The sequence below is a fragment of the Homo sapiens genome, chromosome 3 (assembly GCF_000001405.40).
Source record: "Homo sapiens chromosome 3, GRCh38.p14 Primary Assembly".
In the NCBI taxonomy this organism is placed as follows: Eukaryota; Metazoa; Chordata; class Mammalia; order Primates; family Hominidae; genus Homo; species Homo sapiens.
This window is the reverse complement of record NC_000003.12, coordinates 14,290,055-14,309,356: the sequence shown is the minus strand read 5'-3', so window position 1 is coordinate 14,309,356 and position 19,302 is coordinate 14,290,055. Positions and strand designations below refer to the sequence as shown.

The following is a 19,302-nucleotide window of genomic DNA, read 5'->3' as shown; positions in this document are numbered from 1 at the left end:
ATGAAGTTTCCTTTTGAAACAAATTTATTTAAGTTAAAAAATCATATTTAGAGAAAACCATTAGGTCAAAAATAGTCTAGGTGGCACGTGGATAAAGTTTAGGGAATTCTCAATGAAACCATAGTGTTTGCTGTTCTCTGTACCCCCGGGCTGTTTCTGACCTCCCTGTCTTTGCTCTTGCTGTTCCTCCCACCTGGGTCACCTTTCTACCTCCTTACTTGATCAATCTTCCTCATTCTGTGAGTGTCTTTCTCAACCCCACCATCCTGCTGCAATCCTAAGCTGACTGTCTTCCGTAATGGTCCCCAGCCCCTGAGCTGCTCTTCCTGGGGTGGAAGGGTAGTGGCAGCCCTTTTCCTCTGTCATTTATTGGTCTCATGGACTCCTAATGGTCTCTTTGGAAGGGTGCCTTTCTTGCTAGACCAGGAGTTCCTTGAGGGCAGGGCGTAACTGGGGCTTCTCTGTGCCATCTCTCTACCTCCAAGATGTTTGAATTAAAGAGAACTGGGCTTGAGGGTGATTCCAACTCACTGGCTGGTTCCCAGAGATGGCAAACTCCAGAGGGGAAGTGACCCTAGGGAGATGGTGAATGTAGCCTTGGATGTTGTCTCCTCTGATCCCTTTGTCCTCCCCACCCCCTGCTTACATGTGTCCTTCAGCTGCTCCAGGGGCTCCTGGGCAGGCTGCCTTCCAGATGCTGCTGGGCCCCCAGTCCCAGCCTGGAGCAAAAATGTGAAAGCACAGCTCCCTTGCCTGCCATCTGGAAGGCTTGCTGTAGGATGTGATTCCTGTTGCAGAGCTCCCTGGGTCAGGTGGGCTGCCTCCTGCAGCCCTGCTTGGTTGGCTTCCTCCCCTCCATGACCCTGCTTCTCTGACGTCTTTGCCTCTTCCATCCCTTGCACATGAAGATGTGATGCAGGGAACCCAAGTTGGGATGGGTGTTTGGAGTTCTGGGGGCCCAGGTGGAAACATCTGGCAGGTGGCAGGATGCACAGGTCTGGAAATTGGGAGAGAGGGTGGGGCCAGAGATGAAGAGATCTGGGGGTCGATGAGGTGGTAGAAATCAGCCGAGGGGGTGAGATCACCCAAGGAGAACCTAAGGCCTGAGAAGAGGCTGAGAAATACCTCAAGCCCCGGCACTCGAGGCTCACCAGCCGGGGGAGGAGGAGCCAGCCAAGGAACTTGAGGAGGAGCCCTGAGATGTCCAGGAGGAACTGGCCAGGGTGGCCGGAGGCCAAGGGAGGAGCACGCCTCTGGGCATCGGGAGTCAGATGGGACCTAGAAAGGGCCCTGGACTGGCCAGGCCTTAGACAGGAGAGGTCCCAAGGAGGGATGGAGACCAGGCCAGCACGGGGAAGAGGGAAGAGCCGGGGTGGGCGACTCCTTCGAAAGAGGTGACAGAAAAACAGAGGCAGAGGCCAGAAGGGCCTGAAGTCCAGGGCGGCTTTTGTTGTTTGTTATTTGGGATGGGTGCACATGGGACATGTTTAAATTCTGGTGGGAAGCCAGTATGTGCTGGAGGAGGAGGGGCTGGAGCAGATGCTGGAGAAGGAGGAGAGAGGGGCCAGAGGCTGAGAAGCCCTGAGGAGCTTAGGCGCTGGCCTCGAGGAGGAGGGGCCCACAGCCACATTCCCAGTGGCAAACAAGCAGAAAAGAGAAATGTCCCAGTGGGAGAGGCGCGGCGGGGCTGGCGATTGGGGGAGAGAGACTGATAGCACCCCTGCCTGTGGATTCCATGCCCCGTGTCCTGCTGCAGGTGGGAGGCCTGGGTGCCAGGCTGGAAGTGGTCACTGCCACGTGAGGGAGACAGAGCTGCCCTATGGACAGGGCTGGTGACAGCCCTGCCAACGCTGATCCTGACCAGAAGCCAGGGTGGCCACCAGCAGCTCAGGGCCAGGTCTTGAATTAGAGACAGTTACAGAAGCTCTGCTGTGGCCCCTCCCCAGGACCAGGGAGAGAGGGAAGAAAGGAGGCACCACTGAAGGAGGCACTCACTAGTTTCAGTCCGGCCTCACCGATTTCACCCTGGCCCTGCCCTGCTCCCACTGAGGTCTCAGAGCTGTGGTTTGGCATTCGAGGTCATGCCACTCTGGCTCCAACCCACCTCCCCTGCATCCCCACCCCAGCCCTGCACAGAGGCAGCACGTTTTTCCCTCTTCCGTCAGCACCACCTGCCCCTCAGTGTCTGCTTTTGCTCAGAGCATCCTTCCCTCCGAATTTGAGGACGGCAGCCTTATAGATACAGATTCAAGTTGCCCTGAATATGTGTTCCGAGTAGCAGCAGTTGTTCCTGGGTTTTAGAGGAAAAAAGAAGGCACAGTTTCTAAGTTGAACATAGGCAATTGATTGACTACTGTTCTTGTATCACCAGTTCCAGGAACATGAAGATAATAGGTGAGGGTTGCACTGTGCAACTTGTGATGGCATTTTAGGTAACTTAATCAGCTAGTCTTGAAATTATGAGGAAAGAAAGGACAAAAACACCTCCATGGGCCTGATATATTTTGCATGCGTCACATTCTTCAGACTGCTCTGAGGGACTTTTTGTTTTCATCTGATCATCCTGCAAGATTTCAGGGCCCTCCAGCCAGAGAGGGAGAATGCACCCCCATGGGGAAGGGTGGGTGTCTCAGTAGGAGGGTGTTAGAAAGAACCTATTATAGGATTGGGGCTTTGGGTGGGTGATTTGGGGAGAATCTGAGGAAGTGAGGGTTCGTTAGATTGGCTGCTGTCAGAAAGTGGGGGCAATCCTATGATTGTGGATCTCAATAATGCTAACCTGCAGGGAGGGAGAGTAGAAGGAGGATGAGCTAGAATTGGTGGAGGCCTAGCAGTCACCCATTTAAGCCAAGGGAAGGAGTCAAGAGGGGGTGTTTCGTATTCCGTGGGTGATACAGGGACCGTGCTTCTGTCCAGTGACCTCACTCTGTCTCCCTTTATCTTGGTCTCAGAGCGCCCTTGGCAGAGGTTGGTTTCGTTAGATTGTTTATGTCCCACAGAAGGACGGCGTGGCCCAGCTGTGAGCACTGAGCCAGCTTCCAGATGGCAGGAGCTGCCCCTTTTTTTTCTCTCTCAGTCGTCACCTTTCAGAAGCCTCTTCAAAGCTTCCACAGCAAACACCTCTGTTTGAGGGTTTCATCTTTTCCTCCTCTGCACTTTAGAAACACTCTTTTAAATTTGTGTACAGCATACGGACCCTTCAGCGTGCTCATCTTCACAGCACGGCTCCTCCACGTTTTTTTTCGTCTGCACGCACCCGTGGAGCCACCACCCGGATCAAGATCATTTCCACACCCAAGAAGGCACACCACACCCACCCAAGGTGACCAAGCCTGGCCTGTGTCAGCGTGGCCTCCCTGGAATGTCACATAAATGGAATCCCCAGGCATGTACTCCTTCTGTTTACCATCTCGTCGGCCGGCTTCACCCATGCTGTTGCACGAGGCAGTGACTTCTCATTTTTATGGCTGTGTGGTACGCCATAACCAAAGGCCACCGCTGCAGTTCACTGGGAACAGAAACGGTTTTCAATGCATCGTGCCGGGACTACCGGACGGCTGCTTGGAGAGCCGCGAACCTCGGCCCTCAATTCATCTGTATATAAAAATGACTCGAAAGGGATGCCAGGCTTGGGCATGGAGCATGGTGACAGTCTGCATGGCCCTGTGACACAAGCGTTTCTTCAACAGGACACAAGGATCCCTAACTGGGAAAGAAGAAATTGATATGTTGGACTTCATTAAAATTAACAACTTCTCTCCATCAAAAGACACCCTTCAGAAAGTGAAAGGGCAAGCCTCAGGCTGGAAGGAAATACTTGCGAAAGATTTCCCCCGTGCCTCCCATCTTGGCTTATCTCTCTCGGATGATTTACTAAGTACTTCAGCATGCACTCTTCTCCCTCTTCTCTTTCTCCTGAGATTCGGAAGACTCAAATGATTTAACTATAGGGTCTCAGGCTGGGCACAGTGGCTCACGCCTATAATCCCAAACACTTAGGAAGGCCGAGGCGGGAGGATTGCTTGAGTCCAGGAGTTCAAGACCAGCCTAGGCAACATGGCAAAACTCTGTCTCTACCAAAAAATGACACAAAAATTAGCCAGATGTGGTGGCGCGCCTGTAGTCCCAGTTATTCCAGAGGCTGAGCTGGAAGGATCACCTGAGACCAGGAGGTTGAGGCTGCAGTGAGCTATTATTGCACTACTGCATCCAGCCTGGGCAATGGAGTGAGACCTTGTCTCAAAAAAAAAACAACAAAAAAAAAACCCTGTAGGGTCTTAGTTGCTGACCAGGGCTTTTGCAGTTGTAATGGTCCCACTTGAGACTTCCACAGTCATGTTAATTCTGCCCACTGGATTGCGAGGCAGGTGAGGTCATTATTTCCACCTTCCAGCTAAGGCAGCTGAGACTCAAGGAGGTGAAGGCGCTTGCCAAGCTCACACAGCAACATCCCCAGCTGACGTTTTGGCTGGGCATGCCTGGTACAGAGTAGGTGCTGAATATGTGCTTGGAAGTGGATTTCTCAGCCCCAGGGCTCCCCAAGCCTGTGCATGTGTGTTGCAGGCAGGGAGACTGAGTATTCAGGAGCGTTCCTAGCAGAAGACAATTTCCTTACTGGTTGTGAGTGCCAGACAAACACTGCAGGACACCCATAGGCTCCCTCCTAGTGCCAAGAAGCAACCAAGCCCCAAGACCACATCTCTGCCCTCAGCCTTAACCTTCTGTCATGGCCCAGGGACACCAAAGAGGGATGGCAGGACACCAACACAGTGCTTATTTTCCCTCCTGGGACTCTGGCCACTTTCCATCTGTAAGCAGTGCCCAGAGCCACATCCAGCTCCAAGGTGAACACATGGCCACTGCAGAGGGGAGCTGGCTCCTGCCTCACCAGGTCTCTAAGCAACTCCACCCTTCAGGGGTGCATTGTGGCACAGAGGTGCCAACTGCTCCTCAGCCCCCACCTTCCATTCAGTGCCTGGCATTTCCTGCTGGGCACCCTGTGTCCTGTTCTTCCCATCACGGCTGCAGTTCCAGGATCTGTAGCCCTCAGAAATAACAAAAGGCCAAAGGAAAGAGCGAGAGGGCCCACCTTGCAGAGTCACAGGGAGGACGGAGGTGATGTGCACAGGACCTGGATTCTGCAGAGCGCGGGGTCCAGGGCTGGCTCTGTGATTTGTTGACTGTGTGGCCTTGGGTGGGTTCCACAACCTCCCTGAATGTCTGGTAGGGCTCTTTCTGAAGCTCATGACCAATCCCCTGCCCACTCAGTCCAGCAACCTGGGCTTGCAGGCCTGTAATGGAGGGATGCCAGCAAGGACAGAGCACAATAACGTGTGTGCCAATGTAAACGATAAAGTATGGTGTCCTCATACATTTCATAAATATTTGCTGAGAAGCTTCTAAGTTCTGGGCACTGGGAGGGATCCAGAGATGACTACAGCATCTCAGGGAGCCCAAAGCCAAGGGGAGGAGCCAGGACAGGGTCTTGCCATCTGCCGCTCACCCCCACCCTGTGCTCTGGGGACCGCTGCATCCTCAGGCTGTGGACTAGGAAGCTGAGGGTCACCCAGACAAGAGGAGGTGCTGGAGGTCACACAGTGAATATGCCTCGCTGGCCTTCCTGTCTGGCGTGTCTTCCTCTGCCCCCATCCAGGTAGGCTGGAGTTGGGTTTTGATGGAGGAGATTTTGGTTAGGAAGATGAGAGTGGTGGTAGCAGTTCAGGGCCAGGGGGAGGGACAGGAAGCACCAGATCAGTTTTGTGGGCAGCAAGTAGGTCAATGTGGTTAAGACACAATTGTCCCTGGGGTAGCAGGACAAGCAAGGGGATGAGCAGGGAGACAGGGTGCCAAAAGGCTCTGGGGAGCCTGAGGCCTCAGCCTGAAGCCACAGGAGTGTCGCCTGCACATCTGGCCAAACCCTAAGCTCTGAGCTGGGGACACACAGGGGAATTGAGCACTTCTCTGACCCCAGGAGCTCATTGCCTTGTCAAACAGTCAGAAGTGGAAAAGGGAAAGTGCAGGTGGTTGAGGAGCCAGGGAGCCGCTGGCCCAGCCTGGGCAGCAGGGAGGGCTTTTGTGGGGATGCAGGTCCTAGCCTGGATCTGAAAAGCTGAACAGGAGCCAGGTAGGTGGAAAGGGGTGTGGAGGACCCAGAAGGAGCGGCGACAGCAGAGGCCAAGGCTCTGCAGCTGGAGCCAGCGTCTGCATCTGCGGTGGCAGGAAAGATGAGAAGGGACTCAGCCCAGAGGAGAGAGGGAACCCGCCCTGAGCAAGAGGAGAGATGCCTTTTCCTCAGGGTGGGCAGAAGGAAGGAGAAGGCAGAGGGTGGTTTTGTGGATGCTGGGAGTGGGGTGCTGAGGACTGGATAGGGGATTAGGGTGACAGGTGGTACCTCTGTTCTCATTCCCACCATTCCCCGCCACCCCTCTACCCCACTGCTCCAGCCATGTGGGTCCCCTGGCTGCCCCTCCAGCATAGCTGCACTCTCCTGTCTCCAGGCCTTTGTGTGTGGGGTTCCCCTGGCCTAGAAAGCCTTCTCCCATTGTCTGCAGGGCTCACTCCTAGTCATCACTCACCTGTGCTCGTGTCTCCTCCTCTTATGGGTCTTCCTCGGCCACCCTCTTCTCCCTGACCTCCTGTTTATTCTGCTTTGCTTTTTTCCTGAGAACATACTACTTCCTGACATAGTATATATTCATGGTCTTATTTGCTTATTTTCTGTCTCATCCAATGAACATGTAACTCTCAGAGAATTTGTTGGTTTTGCCCTGGATGTATGCCTGGCACTTAGTACCAGGCATGCAGTTGGTGCTCAATAAAAGGGTGTTGGGTAAAGAAGTGACCCAATGAAGCAGGTGAGAGGTGGTGAGGTAGAGTCACTGGTGACTATCTTTTCTCCCTAAGACACACTTGGGAATTATTTACCCTCTGCACACTGACTGGGCAGGCGGACAGCCTTCCCCTGTGCCTTGAGCTCCTAGCCCTGTCTGCTCACCTCTGTGGAGACCCTAGGTTCCCACCCTTGGCCCCTGGTGTTGGCAGAAGGGGTCAGGCTGGGAGGGACAAAGGGACTGTAGTTTTGCTGGGAATGGGCATGGTGAGAGGGCTGGAGTTGAGAGGTTCACTCCAGATTTCAGGAAGCTTCCACATGCTTGATCCCACCACCATTCCCAATGCAGGGAACTCCTGGATTGCCGTCTCCACCAAGCTGGCCCCGGGAAAGGCCTACGGCCATTTTTGCAAATCAACCACATATCTTAAGCCCCATAAGCAACTGTGAAATAATATGAGATGAAACAGTGGCCACTTTCAGGGAGTAGAATCAATAGGGGTGGGGGCAACTCGGACCTTCTCTTTTACTTTATTATATGTCCTTTTATGCCATTTCAGTTTGTTTCAAAAATGAAATATTTAGGTCTAAAAGAAATGAAGACTTTACCTTTCAGGTGATTTTTCCGACATGTGAAATGACACACAGGCAAGGGAGTTCACCAGCATGGTTTGCTTCAGCGAGAGATCAGAGCGCCCTAAGTGAATGCCAGTGGGTGTTGCGAAATAGCCAGCGGGGCCTCCATGTAAGGGAATCCTGTGGACAGTAAAACAGAGTCAGGCGGCTGCAAGGTTCCGGCACGGTGCAGGGCATACAAAGCCCTCACTGGGGTGCGGGCAGCATCACACGCTCCCATTTGTGTAAACGATGTTTAGAGTGTCTCTGGACCAGACACACGACAACCAGCAGCAGCGGCTGCCTCTGGGCAAAGGAACCGGTGTCCCGGGCTCACAGGTGGGAGGGGAATGACTTTCTTTTTATGCTCTTTGGTACCCTTAAGATTTTGTATGGAACCTCCTCAAAAACAACTAGATAGAAGTTTAACAACAATTTGTTTTTAAAACATATCAAAGTTTTAGAAATAATTCTTTTTGAAAGGCATGGGGGAAGGGAGATAAAAGATGACAGATTTTTGTTCCAAGCACTGACGCACTCTTTGACCAGTGGGTAAGTCACTGGCTGTCTCTGAGCATCAGTTTCTGCCAAGTGTAAAATAAGCCAAGTCTCCCCGCTCAACGTGAGCAGTGTCACACAACTCCAGGGGGTGCCATTCACATTGCAGTCCATGTGACTGATCCCCTTGCAACTGTGCAGTGCGCAATGTAGGCAACTGGAGGAGGTGGCCCGGATATGAGGCGGAAATGGGAGAGTGGACAGGAGAGAGCTTGGCTGTCATGAGGGGTAGGGTGTGCACATGTGAGTGTGTGGAATGTGGCAGTGTGTTCCTCTGAGTGGGTGTGTACTTTCTGCTGATGTGAGTCCTACAGACACAGGCTGAGGAAAAGAGATCACCTCCTCTCTCCCAGGCTCAGGCTCCTGGGTCTTAAGAGCCAGGATTGAGAAGGGCACCCGCAGGGTGCTGAGGTTTCCCACTCCATCTTCCAAGGGCCCGCCACCCAGCAAGCTGTTTCTTCAGGCCCTTTCCATGTTGGCTCAGAACCTCCGTCCCCACGGTTGGGGTAGGAGAGAATTCCTCACGTCAAGATGCTTTCTGCTTTTCCAAGTGCAGAGTCAGAGCTAACTTGACTCAAATTCCAGCCTTGACTCTTTCTTTGTCACTTGATTAGAAACAGCTCTGACACTTTCTATTCCTGGGACCTTGGGCAAGGACCTTCAACTCTCTGAGCCTTAAGTTTTCTCATCTGTGAAACGGAGGCAGAGATGGTGGCCACCGCACAGTGTTGCTGTGAGTGTTAAATGTCCAGTGAGGTTTGACAGGTGGAGTGACTCACGCCTGTAATCCCAGCGCTTTGGGCGGCCAAGGTGGAAGGATCGCTTGAGGCCAGGAGATCGAGCCTGGGCAACACAGAGAGACCCTGTCCCTACCAGAAAAAAAAAAAAATTAGCAGGGCACAGTGGTGTGCACCTGTGGTCCCAGCTACTGAGGAGGCTGAGGTGAGAGGATCGCTTGAGCTCAGTTCAAGGCTGCAGTGAGCTATGATCGTGCCACACAGCATTGCAGCCTGGGTGACAGAGTGAGATCTTGTCTCAGAAAAAAAAAAAATTTTAATGTCCAGTGAGGTCAAGCACATAGTAGGCACTCAGTCAATGCCAATTCCCAATATTAGCTCCTATGGACTCTTGGGTACTCCTTATATACTCTGGGTGGGCTATGTTGATACAGACAGAAAACACCTGAAAGGAAACATACCCCACACTCTCAGCAGTGGTTGTCTGGGGAATAGGAGGGTGCTATTAAGCGCATGCATGATTTTAAAATCAGTAAAGTTGTTTTCATTCTGAAAACGAAGAAACAAAGTGAAAAAAGAGAATAGGTGAAGCCCAGAGGAATTTTAGGGTAGTGAAACTACCTAGTATGATCTAGTCATGGCAGACACGTTATGATACATTTGCTCAAACCTATAGAATGTGCAACACCAAGAGTGAGCCTCACATAGACTATGGAGTCGGGGTGATGATGATGTGTCAAGGTAGTTCACTCATTAACAAGTGCACCTGCTGGTGCCCCATGTTGGTGGTGAGGACACTGTGTACGGGGTGGGGGTGGGTGTTGGTGGTGAGGACACTGTGTGTGGGGTAGGGGTGGGTGTTGATGATGGGGACACTGTGAGTGGGGCCTTCTACCCTGTGCCAGCTGGGTCCCTGACACAAGGCCAGTGCTCGTAAACATTTGGGGCCTTTCTTACCTGGCCTGGGCTCTCTCATGAACCACACTCCCTCTTCCACAGTCAGGGATCTGGGTACCGCCCTCTTGTGTAGGAAGAAGATGCCACCCCCTTACACCTTCAGCAGGGAGAGGGGTCTCTCAGGTTAAGACCTTGGGTAGAGGAGGGGGACATCCGTGTGCAGAGGACCCCAGCTAGCCAGCCAGCCTGGGGCCAGTTCCTGGGGGCCCCAACTGATCCCCAGGATGACCTTCAATTATATGCCAGCAGGCTGGGTCAGAGAGAGCCACACAGCCCCTACTGGGCACACAGATGGGCACCTCTCCAAGGCCTCACACTTAACCTCAGGATGGGGGTGCAGGGGGCAGGGGCCCAATTCCCATCATCCTTCTCAGGTGGCAGAGAGTGGCCTTTGCCTCCTGATTGTTGTGCGACCTTGCATGGCTGGCATCCTCTCTGGCCCATCAGGTTCTGTTGATCCGGGTTCCTGACAAGCCCCAGGGGCTTTCTGGGCTGGGCCAGGGGTCTGCATGGCAGGGAGGTGAAGCAGAGGTCTAAAGAGTGGGCTGGGGCCAAGCCTGGGAGACTTCCAGACAAGCGCCAAGGTGCCGACCCCTCAGACACGCTCCAGGCCTCCCTGGCAGCCTCTCAATCCAGGCCTCTGGGGCTCACGAATGGCGGGGCCAGCAGATCTACAGGGGAGATGGCAAGACCACCAGGACTTGGCAGAAAACAAGCACAGGTGTCTTCTGCCAGACTGCCCAGCCTGAAATCTACAAGAGGAGGAACATTTACAGGAAGTGGCTCTTCTGGGCTCCTTCACCTGAACCCTGAGACAGGAAGCAGACTCTGGCCAGGGTGGTGTGGTAGGTGGGTGAGGACCTGAGCCCCACTTTTAATCCACCTCCTCCTCTACCCCGCTGAGTGCCTTCCGGTGCAGCACTTCCCTGGTGGAGCCTCAGAGCCCAAATCATCATTCTGTGGTCACAGACAGTAAGTGCCCTGTCCGTCTTAAACTGAGAAGTCCACCCTGGAGTGACAGATGCCTTCAGGAATGGCTGGTAGTGACCATGGCTAAGAGTCTGTTCAGACAGGCATGGGCTGGAGTCCTGGCTCGCCCACTGGAGCAACTGGGTCATCGTGGGCAAGTGACCCTCCCTCCTGGAGACTCAGTCTTCATCTGTAAAGTGGGGATGATACCAGTGCCCCTGCTGGAAAGATGTAAGGAGCTGATGTGAGCCTAGGTGTCAGTTGCTTGCACATTTAAGCCCTCAGTAAGCCATGGCCCTGTTACTATCCTTCTTATTGACAACAGCCATTGTGTTATGATTTTTAGTAGTAATAATCATCCTATTATCGCCCTACCTTCATTTCCTCACCCCTAAAATGGGGACAATAAGCGGGCTGACATCATGGTGTTGCTAGGAAGGTTGAGTGCTTAGGGCAGGGCCTGGCACAGCGTGAGCCCTCCGTAAATGACCGTCATTCTTATGATTACTATCATTGTTATAGTCTTCTAAGCGCTGGAAACGCTCAACAAGCCAGCACAGGCTCTCCAGGAAGCCGGCATTCCTAGGCCTAAACTGGGAAAGGGAGGTTCAGGGCAGCGAAGCCACGTGCCCGATCACACAGCGGGATGCGCTCCACGGCCTCCACCCCAAGGGCAGCCCCCACCCGCATCCCCTGCCCATCTGCGGGCGTCAGTGCCTCCAGGAGCTGGCAGCGGCCCAGGCGGCGGCGGGCCAGGGAGGGAGCAGGCGGAGAGCGCACGCGGGGCTGCACGTGGGGCGCGCGCCAGGAGGGCCTGCACGTGTTCGCCCACGCAGGGCCAGGAGGGTCGGGCCAGGCTGCGGCGGGGACGGGGTGCCCAGAGCCTGCGCGCTTCCCGGGTGTTCTCACGGCTCTGCGCGGGCGACGGCCGGAGCGCTGGCGTTGGGGGCATGGAGGTGCTGCGGATGCCAGGTGAGAGGTATTGTTGTCGGCTACCAACGCCAGCCCTCCCAAAATCCAGACTTCCTGAGTCAGAGCCCCCAGGGAAAAATCAGAGTGGCAGACACGAGCTGTGAACCCATCCTTTCTTTCTTCCACCCCTACCCTCACTTTCACCCTCAGCAACCCCTGTTGACCCTCTTTAAAACTGATTGCAACGCCAGCCACCTCTTCACAGCCCGGCAGTCCCCAGGTATCCCTCCAGCCACCACCCTCTCCCGGGACTAGGCAGTGGCCTCCTCACTCCGCCAATTGTCCTGCTGCAGCAGGCGGTGAGGCTGCTGTGAGCCACCTTGACTGTAAAGAGGGTAGAAAAAATAAGAAGAGGGATTGTTTGTGCTCATATTTGCATAAGGAAGCTATAATACCTTATCCTGGTAGTTAGATGAGCCCAGTTTGGGGCCCACTTAAGAAAAATAATGGAAAATTAGGTACCAAGATGAAAAAAGGAATCACAGGAAATTAGAAATTTTAGAAAGCTTACAAATGTCACGAACATCACAAAATCCAGAAAAATAACATTTTTATCAGTTGTCTGACATACTTTTATCCTTTTTTCCCCAACATGTCATTGATCACCTTTATATGATGACAATTTTGTCATATTCATAGAAAATTAAAAGATAATTCCGTCTTTCCTCTAATGTGGCCTATTGAATAAAGTTTAGGAAAGTTTCTTTCAGTTTCACAACTTGTACTTGGAAATGTTTTCTATAAACCCAGACACACACACACACACACACACACACACACACACACGCAAACACATTTTAGCACCACTGTCAAATCTGGAAAAACCTCCATGAAGTTTTTTCATATTTTGGTTGGTTACAGATATCCTCACTGCCTTTAGTAACACTATAAATCTGTGCCCTACAAACAGAAATTCTGATGAATTGCATTTGGTATAATCCTCCCCAAAAAGAAAAAAAAAACCATATTGTGTATTTATGATATACCCTGCATTACTGAGTACATTCCTGACAAGAGAGGGCTTTGTTTGGAAGCAGGCACATGGATGATACACAGAGAAGCCAATCCTCCATTTACAGTCTTACGTAGTTAATGGTTGAAGGAATTTTCTATAGAGTAGCTTCTCCTTCACTTTCTGCATACCTTCTGTGCTGGGGGGGCAGAGAATAAATTCATATCATGATGGGAACTCTGAGTCACTGTCTTTGAATCAAGATCTAGGTTAGTTAGCAAACTGAGCGGTAGGATGGTCCTAGAAACTATCTCCGACACCTGGTGGCTAGTGGTAACCTAACTATGCATGGAAGGACTTTGAACTGCATAAATTTAGCTCAGTAAACCCAAACTCAGTGTATTTTCAACTCTACTAACCCTAAGCTGGGTCCGCAAAATGCCCACAGCCACTCCAGTGCTAATCAGGATGAGAGAAAGAGCCAGAGATGAGATTCACAGTAGAAAGTGACAGTGATTTTAGCTGTTCGCAGGTAAACTATATTACTTTTGCTAATTTTACACCTGACACAGTGGTGGACCGTATCTGGGGATGAGCCTGTGTGCGAAACTCTGAAGCTTAAGTTTTTGAACTTTATCATAAATCCGGTCCTGTGCCATACATTCCTCGTCTGTAAAATAAGGATAATTATAATACCACTACCTGCTTCGTAAGTAAGTTATTATATGCAAAGCACTTAGAGCCATGACTAGCAAATACAGGCATAGCTCAGAGGGACTGAAGGTTCTGTTCCTGCAATAAAGCTAGTATAACAATAAAGTGACTCACTCAAGTCTTTTGGTGTCCCAGTACATAGAAAAGTTAATGTTTACATTATACTGTAATCAGTAGAGTGCAACAGCATTACACTCTACAAGTGTGAAATAGGATTGTGCCTAAAATAGTAGTACCCTATTGTGTGCAATAGTATTATGTCTAACAAACATACAGACCTTAATTTAAAAATACTGTATTGCCAAGAAATGCTAAGTCTCATCTGAACCTTCAGCAAGTCCTAATCTTTTTGCTGGTGGAAGGTCTCTTGCCTCAACGTTAATGGCTGCTGACTTATCAGAGTGGTGGTTGCTGAAGGTTGGGGTGACTGTGGCAATTTCTTAAAAAAGACAACAATGCGCCGGCCATGGTGGCTCACGCCTGTAATCCCAGCACTTTGGGAGGCCAAGGCAGGTGGATCATGAGGTCAGGAGATGGAGACTGTCCTGGCCAACATGGTGAAACCCCATCTCTATTAAAAATACAAAATTAGCCGGGCGTGGTGGTGCGCGCCTGTAGTCCCAGCTACTTGGGAGGCTGAGGCAGGAGAATTGCTTGAACTTGGGAGGCAGAGGTTGCAGTGATCCAAGATCACACCACTGTACTCCAGCCTAGTGACAGAGACGGACTCTGCCTCAAAAACAAAACAAAACAAAGACAACAGTGAAGTTTGCGCAATCAATTGACTCTTCCTTTCATGATAGATTTCTCTGTAGCCTGCGATGCTGTTTGGTAGTATTTCACCCATAGTAGAAATTCTTTCAAAATTGTGGTAAATCCTCACAAACTCTGCTGCTACCTTATCAACTAAGTTTATGTAATATTCTGAATTCTTTGTTGTCATTTAAACAATGTTCACAGCCTCATCATCAGGAGTAGATTCCATCTTAAGAAACCACTTTCTTTGCTCATCCCTAAGAAACAACTCATCATCCACTTGACTTTTATCATGAGATTGCAGCAATTCAGTCCCATCTTCAAGCTCTACCTCTAATTCTAGTTCTCTTGCTTTTTCTACCACATCTACAGTTACTCCACTGGAGTCTTGAACCCTTCAAAGTCATCCACAAGGGTTGAAATCAACTTCTTACAAACTCCTAATGTTGATATTTTGACCTGTTGCCATAAATCATGCATGTTTGTAAGGCATCTAGAAGGGTAACTCCTTTCCAGAAGGTTTTCAGCGTACCTTGCCCAGATCCATCAGAGTACACACTATCTATGGGAGCTATAGCCTTATTGTGTCCGGAATTGGTGGGTTCTTGGTCTCACTGACTTCAAGAATGAAGCTGCGGACCCTCGCGGTGAGTGTTACAGGTCTTAAAGACGGCATGTCCGGAATTCATTCCTTCTGATGTTCAGATGTGTTCGGAGTTTCTTCCTTCTGGTGGGGTTCGTGGTCTCGCTGGCTCAGGAGTGAAGCTACAGACCTTCGCGGTGAGTGTTACAGTTCTTAAGGCGGCACGTCTGGAGTTGTTCTTTCCTCCCGGTGGGTTCGTGGTCTCGCTGGCTCAGGAGTGAAGCTGCGGACCTTCGCGGTGAGTGTTACAGCTCATAAAGGCAGTGTGGACCCAAAGAGTGAGCAGCAGCAAGATTTATTGCAAAGAGCGAAAGAACAAAGCTTCTACAGTGTGGAAGGGGACCCGAGCGGGTTGCCACTGCTGGCTCAGGCAGCCTGCTTTTATTCTCTTATCTGGCCCCACCCACATCCTGCTGATTGGTCCATTTTACAGAGAGCCAGAGTGGTCTGTTTTGACAGGGTGCTGATTGGTGCGTTTACAATCCCTGAGCTAGACACAAAGGTTCTCCACGTCCCCACTAGATTAGCTAGATACAGAGTGTGGACACAAAGGTTCTCCAAGTCCGCACCAAAGTAGCTAGATACAGAGTGTCAACTGGTGCATTCACAAACCCTGAGCTAGACACAGGGTGCTGATTGGTGTGTTTACAAATCTTGAGCTAGATACAGAGTGCCCATTGGTGTATTTACAATCCCTTAGCTAGACATAAAGGTTCTCCAAGTCCCCACCAGAGTAGCTAGAGACAGAGTGTGATTGGTGCATTCACAAACCCTGAGCTAGACACAGGGTGCTGATGGGTGTGTTTACAAACCCTGAGCTAGATACAGAGTGCTGATTGGTGTATTTACAATCCCTTAGCTAGACATAAAGGTTCTCCAATCCAAGTCCCCACCAGAGTAGCTGGATACAGAGTGTGGATTGGTGCATTCACAAACCCTGAGCTAGACACAGGGTGCTGATTGGTGTATTTACAATCCCTTAGCTAGACATAAAGGTTCTCCCAGTCCCCACCAGAGTCAGGAGCCCAGCTGGCTTCACCCAGTGGATCCCGCACGGGGGCCGCAGGTGGAGCTGCCTGCCAGTCCCACGCCCTGCGCCTGCACTCCTCAGCACTTGGGTGGTCGATGGGACTGGGCGCCAGTGGAGCAGGGCGCAGCACTCCTCGGGGAGGCTTGGGCCGCGCAGGGGCACACGGCAGGGAGGGGAGGCTCAGGCATGGCGGGCTGCAGGTCCCCCGAGCCCTGCCCCGCGGGGAGGCAGCTAAGGCCCCGCGAGAAATTGAGCACAAAAGCTGCTGGCCCAGGTGCTAAGCCCCTCACTGCCCGGGGCCCGCGGGGTCCGCCGGCCGGCCGCTCCGAGTGCGGGGCCTGCCGAGCCCACGCCCACCCGGAACTCGTGCTGGCCCGCAAGCACCGCGGGCAGCCCTGGTTCCCACCCGCGCCTCTCCCTCCACACCTTCCCCGCAAGCTAAGGGAGCCGGCTCCAGAAAGGGGTTCCCACAGTGCAGCGGCAGGCTGAAGGGCTCCTCAAGTGCCGCCAAAGTGGGAGCCCAGGCAGAGGAGGCACCGAGAGTGAGCGAGGGCTGTGAGGACTGCCAGCACACTGTCACCTCTCATTATGAAATGTGTTTCTTCAATCATAAGAAAGTCAAAATGACTCCTTGATCCATGGGCTGCAGAATGGATGTTGTGTTAGCAGGCATGAAAACAGCATTCATGTCCTTGCACATCTCCGTGGGAGCTCTCAGGTGACCAAGTCTATTGTTAATGGGCAGTCATATTTGAAAGGAATATTTTTTTCCTGAGCAGTAGGTCAACAATGGGCTTAAAGTGTTCAATAAGCCATGCTGTAAACAGATGTGCTGCCACCCAGGCTCTGTTGTTCCATTTCTAGAGCACAGGCAGAGTAGATTTAGCATCATTCTTCAGGGCCCTACTGTTTTGGAAATGGCCAATGAGCATTGGCTTCAACTTAAAGTCATCAGCTGCACTAGCCCCTATACAAGAGAGTCAGCCTGTCCTTTGAAGCTTTGTAGTCAGGCGTTAACTTCTCCTCTCCAGCTATGTAAGTCCTAGATGGCATATTCTTCCAGTGAAGGCTGTTTCAGCTATATTGAAAACCTGTTGTTAGTGTTGCCACCTTCATCAATGCTCTTAGCTAGTAGATCTGGACAACTCGATGCAGTTTCTACATCAGCACTTGCTGCTTTTCCTTGCACTTTCATGTTACAGAAATGGCTTCTTTCCTTAAATCTCTAAATCAACCTCTGTTAGCTTCCAACTTTTGTTTTGCAGCTTTCTCTCCTCTCTTGAGCCTTCATAGAATTGATGAGTAAGGGCCGGGTGTGGTGGCTCACACCTGTAATCCCAGCACTTTGGGAGGCCGAGGCAGGTGGATCACTTGAAGTCAGGAGTTTAAGACCAGCCTGGCCAACATAGAGAAATCCCATCTCTAATAAAAATACAAAAATTAGCTGGGCGTGGTGGCACGTGCCTATAGTCCCAGCTACTTGGGAGGCTGAGGCAGGAGAATCACTTGAACCGGGAGATGGAGGTTGAGGTGAGCTGAGATTGTGTCACTGCACTCCAGCCTGGGCAACAGAGCGAGACTGTGTCTCAAAACAAACCAACAAACAAACAAACAAACAAACAAGAATGGATGAGTTACGGCCTTGCTCTGGATTAGGCTTTGGCTTAAGGGAATGCTGCGGCTGGTTTGATCTTCTGTCCAGACCACTCAAACTTACTCCATATCAGCAACAAGGCTGCTTCACTGTCTTATTGTTTGTGAATTCACTAGAATAACACTTTTAATTTCTTTCAAAGACTTTCCTTTGCATTCACAATTGGCTAACTATTTGGCACAAAAGGACTCACTTTTAGTCAGTCTTGGCTTTCGAGGTGCCTCCCTCACTAAGCTTAATCATTTCTAGCGTTTGGTTTAAAGTGAAAGATGTATGGCTCCTTCTTTCACTTGAACACTTAGAGGCCATCATTGGCCTAACTTCAATACTGTTGTGTTTCAGGAAATAGGGAGGCCTGGGGTGAGGGAGAGAGATGGAGGAACAGCCGGTTGGTGGAACAGGCAGAATACACATATTGATAGATTAAGTTCACGTCTTACATGGGCACAGTTCATGGTGCCCCTAAACGATTGCAATAGTAACATCAAAGATCACTGATCACAGATCACCGTAACAGATATAATAATACTGATAAAAGTTTGAAATATTCTGAGAATTACCAAGACGTGACACAGAGACACAAAGTGCACATGCACTGTTGAAAACAATGGCGCCGAGAGACTTGCTCAACACAGGGTTGCCAGAAACCTTCAATTTGTAAAAAACACAATGTCTTTGAAGTGCCATAAAGTGAAGCCCAATAAAACAATAAAGGCATGCCTGTCATGCAGATGCTAGGTAAACATTTGCCAAATTAATGAATGATGAAAGAGCCTTGTAAGCTGTAAAGTGCCATTCAAATTCCTTAGTCCAGCTAACAGCCGGCAGAAGCCAAACCAATTCATTGGAGTGCTCACATAGCAGATTTTTTAAAAGCGTGGCTTGAAGAAGGGAAGTAAAAGCTTGTCTGCAGCAGCGGCAGAGTCTGCAGGCCTCCCCAGAGGGTGGGGTGGACTGTGAGAAGGCCGTGGTCATTCAGCCTCCACTCACAGCCTCAGGAATGAGGACTCCCTGCCTCTGGAGGCAGTGGCTCCTTGGTCATCTAAACTCTCTCCCACCCCTGACTCCCATGCTGGCTTCATGTTTTTCTCCCAGGGTCAAAGAGAAGAGGATCCAAGCCAACAGACGGATATTCAGAAAGATGAGACAGGGGGAAGGTTAAGTCATCCCAGCCTTGAGAACAGAAAGAACAAGATGTTCAAAGCTCTCTGCAGAGCAAGCAAGGGGATAAGGAAAAGAGTGGGAAGTCATCTAGTGGAATATGAGAGAAATGTGGACAAAAGGAGAGGCAATCCGTGGAGAGAAAAAGCGGGGGAGTGGGGAAGGATGAAGCTGAGAGGGGCTCCTAAGCGTGGAAGGTGCTGACCTCTCCATTCTCACAAAGTGCGGTCATTCATCAACACCCTCTGTCAGACACCCGCCGTTTGGACTACAGTAGTGAGCAAGACAGACAAAAATCTCTGCCCTTGTGGAGCTTAAATTTTGGTGGTGGAGACAGAAAATAAGCAAGCAGAGGATGAAAGTGTATGAAAGCAGTAAGGACAATGCAGAAAGTTGAAGTAGAGTGAGGTGGTTGGAGGCACCAGGGGCTATTTTCCATCTAGGAGGTGACATTCATGCTGAGACATGAATGAGGATAAACAGCCAGTCAAGGAAAGATGAGGGAAGAGTGTTCCAGGAAGAGGAGTGGTGAGTGCAAAGTCCCTGGGGTAGGAATGGGCTTGGTGTGTTCAAGGGAAGGAGTAGAGTGAGCCCAGAGAGTGTGGCAGGGCATGAGTGGGACTGGGGGGCAGGGCGTCAGACACAGGATTTTTAGTCAGGGTAACAAATTGGAATTTTATTGTAAGTACATAGGGTTTCAAAGAAAATATCACATTCCAGTGTCCACACTGCCGGGGTGCTTTAAAAGTAGTGTT

General features: G+C 51.0%; 5 annotated features.

Moving 5' to 3' along the window:
* Positions 1,363-2,097: an enhancer, noted in NCBI's record as "H3K4me1 hESC enhancer chr3:14348760-14349494 (GRCh37/hg19 assembly coordinates)". NCBI's record gives its function as "activates a minimal SCP1, AML or CMV promoter by ChIP-STARR-seq in naive H9 embryonic stem cells {active_cell/tissue: H9 hESC(naive)}" and the evidence as "EXISTENCE:reporter gene assay evidence [ECO:0000049][PMID:30033119]".
* Positions 10,890-11,442: an enhancer, noted in NCBI's record as "H3K27ac-H3K4me1 hESC enhancer chr3:14339415-14339967 (GRCh37/hg19 assembly coordinates)". NCBI's record gives its function as "activates a minimal SCP1, AML or CMV promoter by ChIP-STARR-seq in naive H9 embryonic stem cells {active_cell/tissue: H9 hESC(naive)}" and the evidence as "EXISTENCE:reporter gene assay evidence [ECO:0000049][PMID:30033119]".
* Positions 15,444-15,944: an enhancer, noted in NCBI's record as "H3K27ac hESC enhancer chr3:14334913-14335413 (GRCh37/hg19 assembly coordinates)". NCBI's record gives its function as "activates a minimal SCP1, AML or CMV promoter by ChIP-STARR-seq in naive H9 embryonic stem cells {active_cell/tissue: H9 hESC(naive)}" and the evidence as "EXISTENCE:reporter gene assay evidence [ECO:0000049][PMID:30033119]".
* Positions 16,868-17,568: an enhancer, noted in NCBI's record as "H3K27ac hESC enhancer chr3:14333289-14333989 (GRCh37/hg19 assembly coordinates)". NCBI's record gives its function as "activates a minimal SCP1, AML or CMV promoter by ChIP-STARR-seq in primed H9 embryonic stem cells {active_cell/tissue: H9 hESC(primed)}" and the evidence as "EXISTENCE:reporter gene assay evidence [ECO:0000049][PMID:30033119]".
* Positions 17,569-18,270: an enhancer, noted in NCBI's record as "NANOG-H3K27ac hESC enhancer chr3:14332587-14333288 (GRCh37/hg19 assembly coordinates)". NCBI's record gives its function as "activates a minimal SCP1, AML or CMV promoter by ChIP-STARR-seq in primed H9 embryonic stem cells {active_cell/tissue: H9 hESC(primed)}" and the evidence as "EXISTENCE:reporter gene assay evidence [ECO:0000049][PMID:30033119]".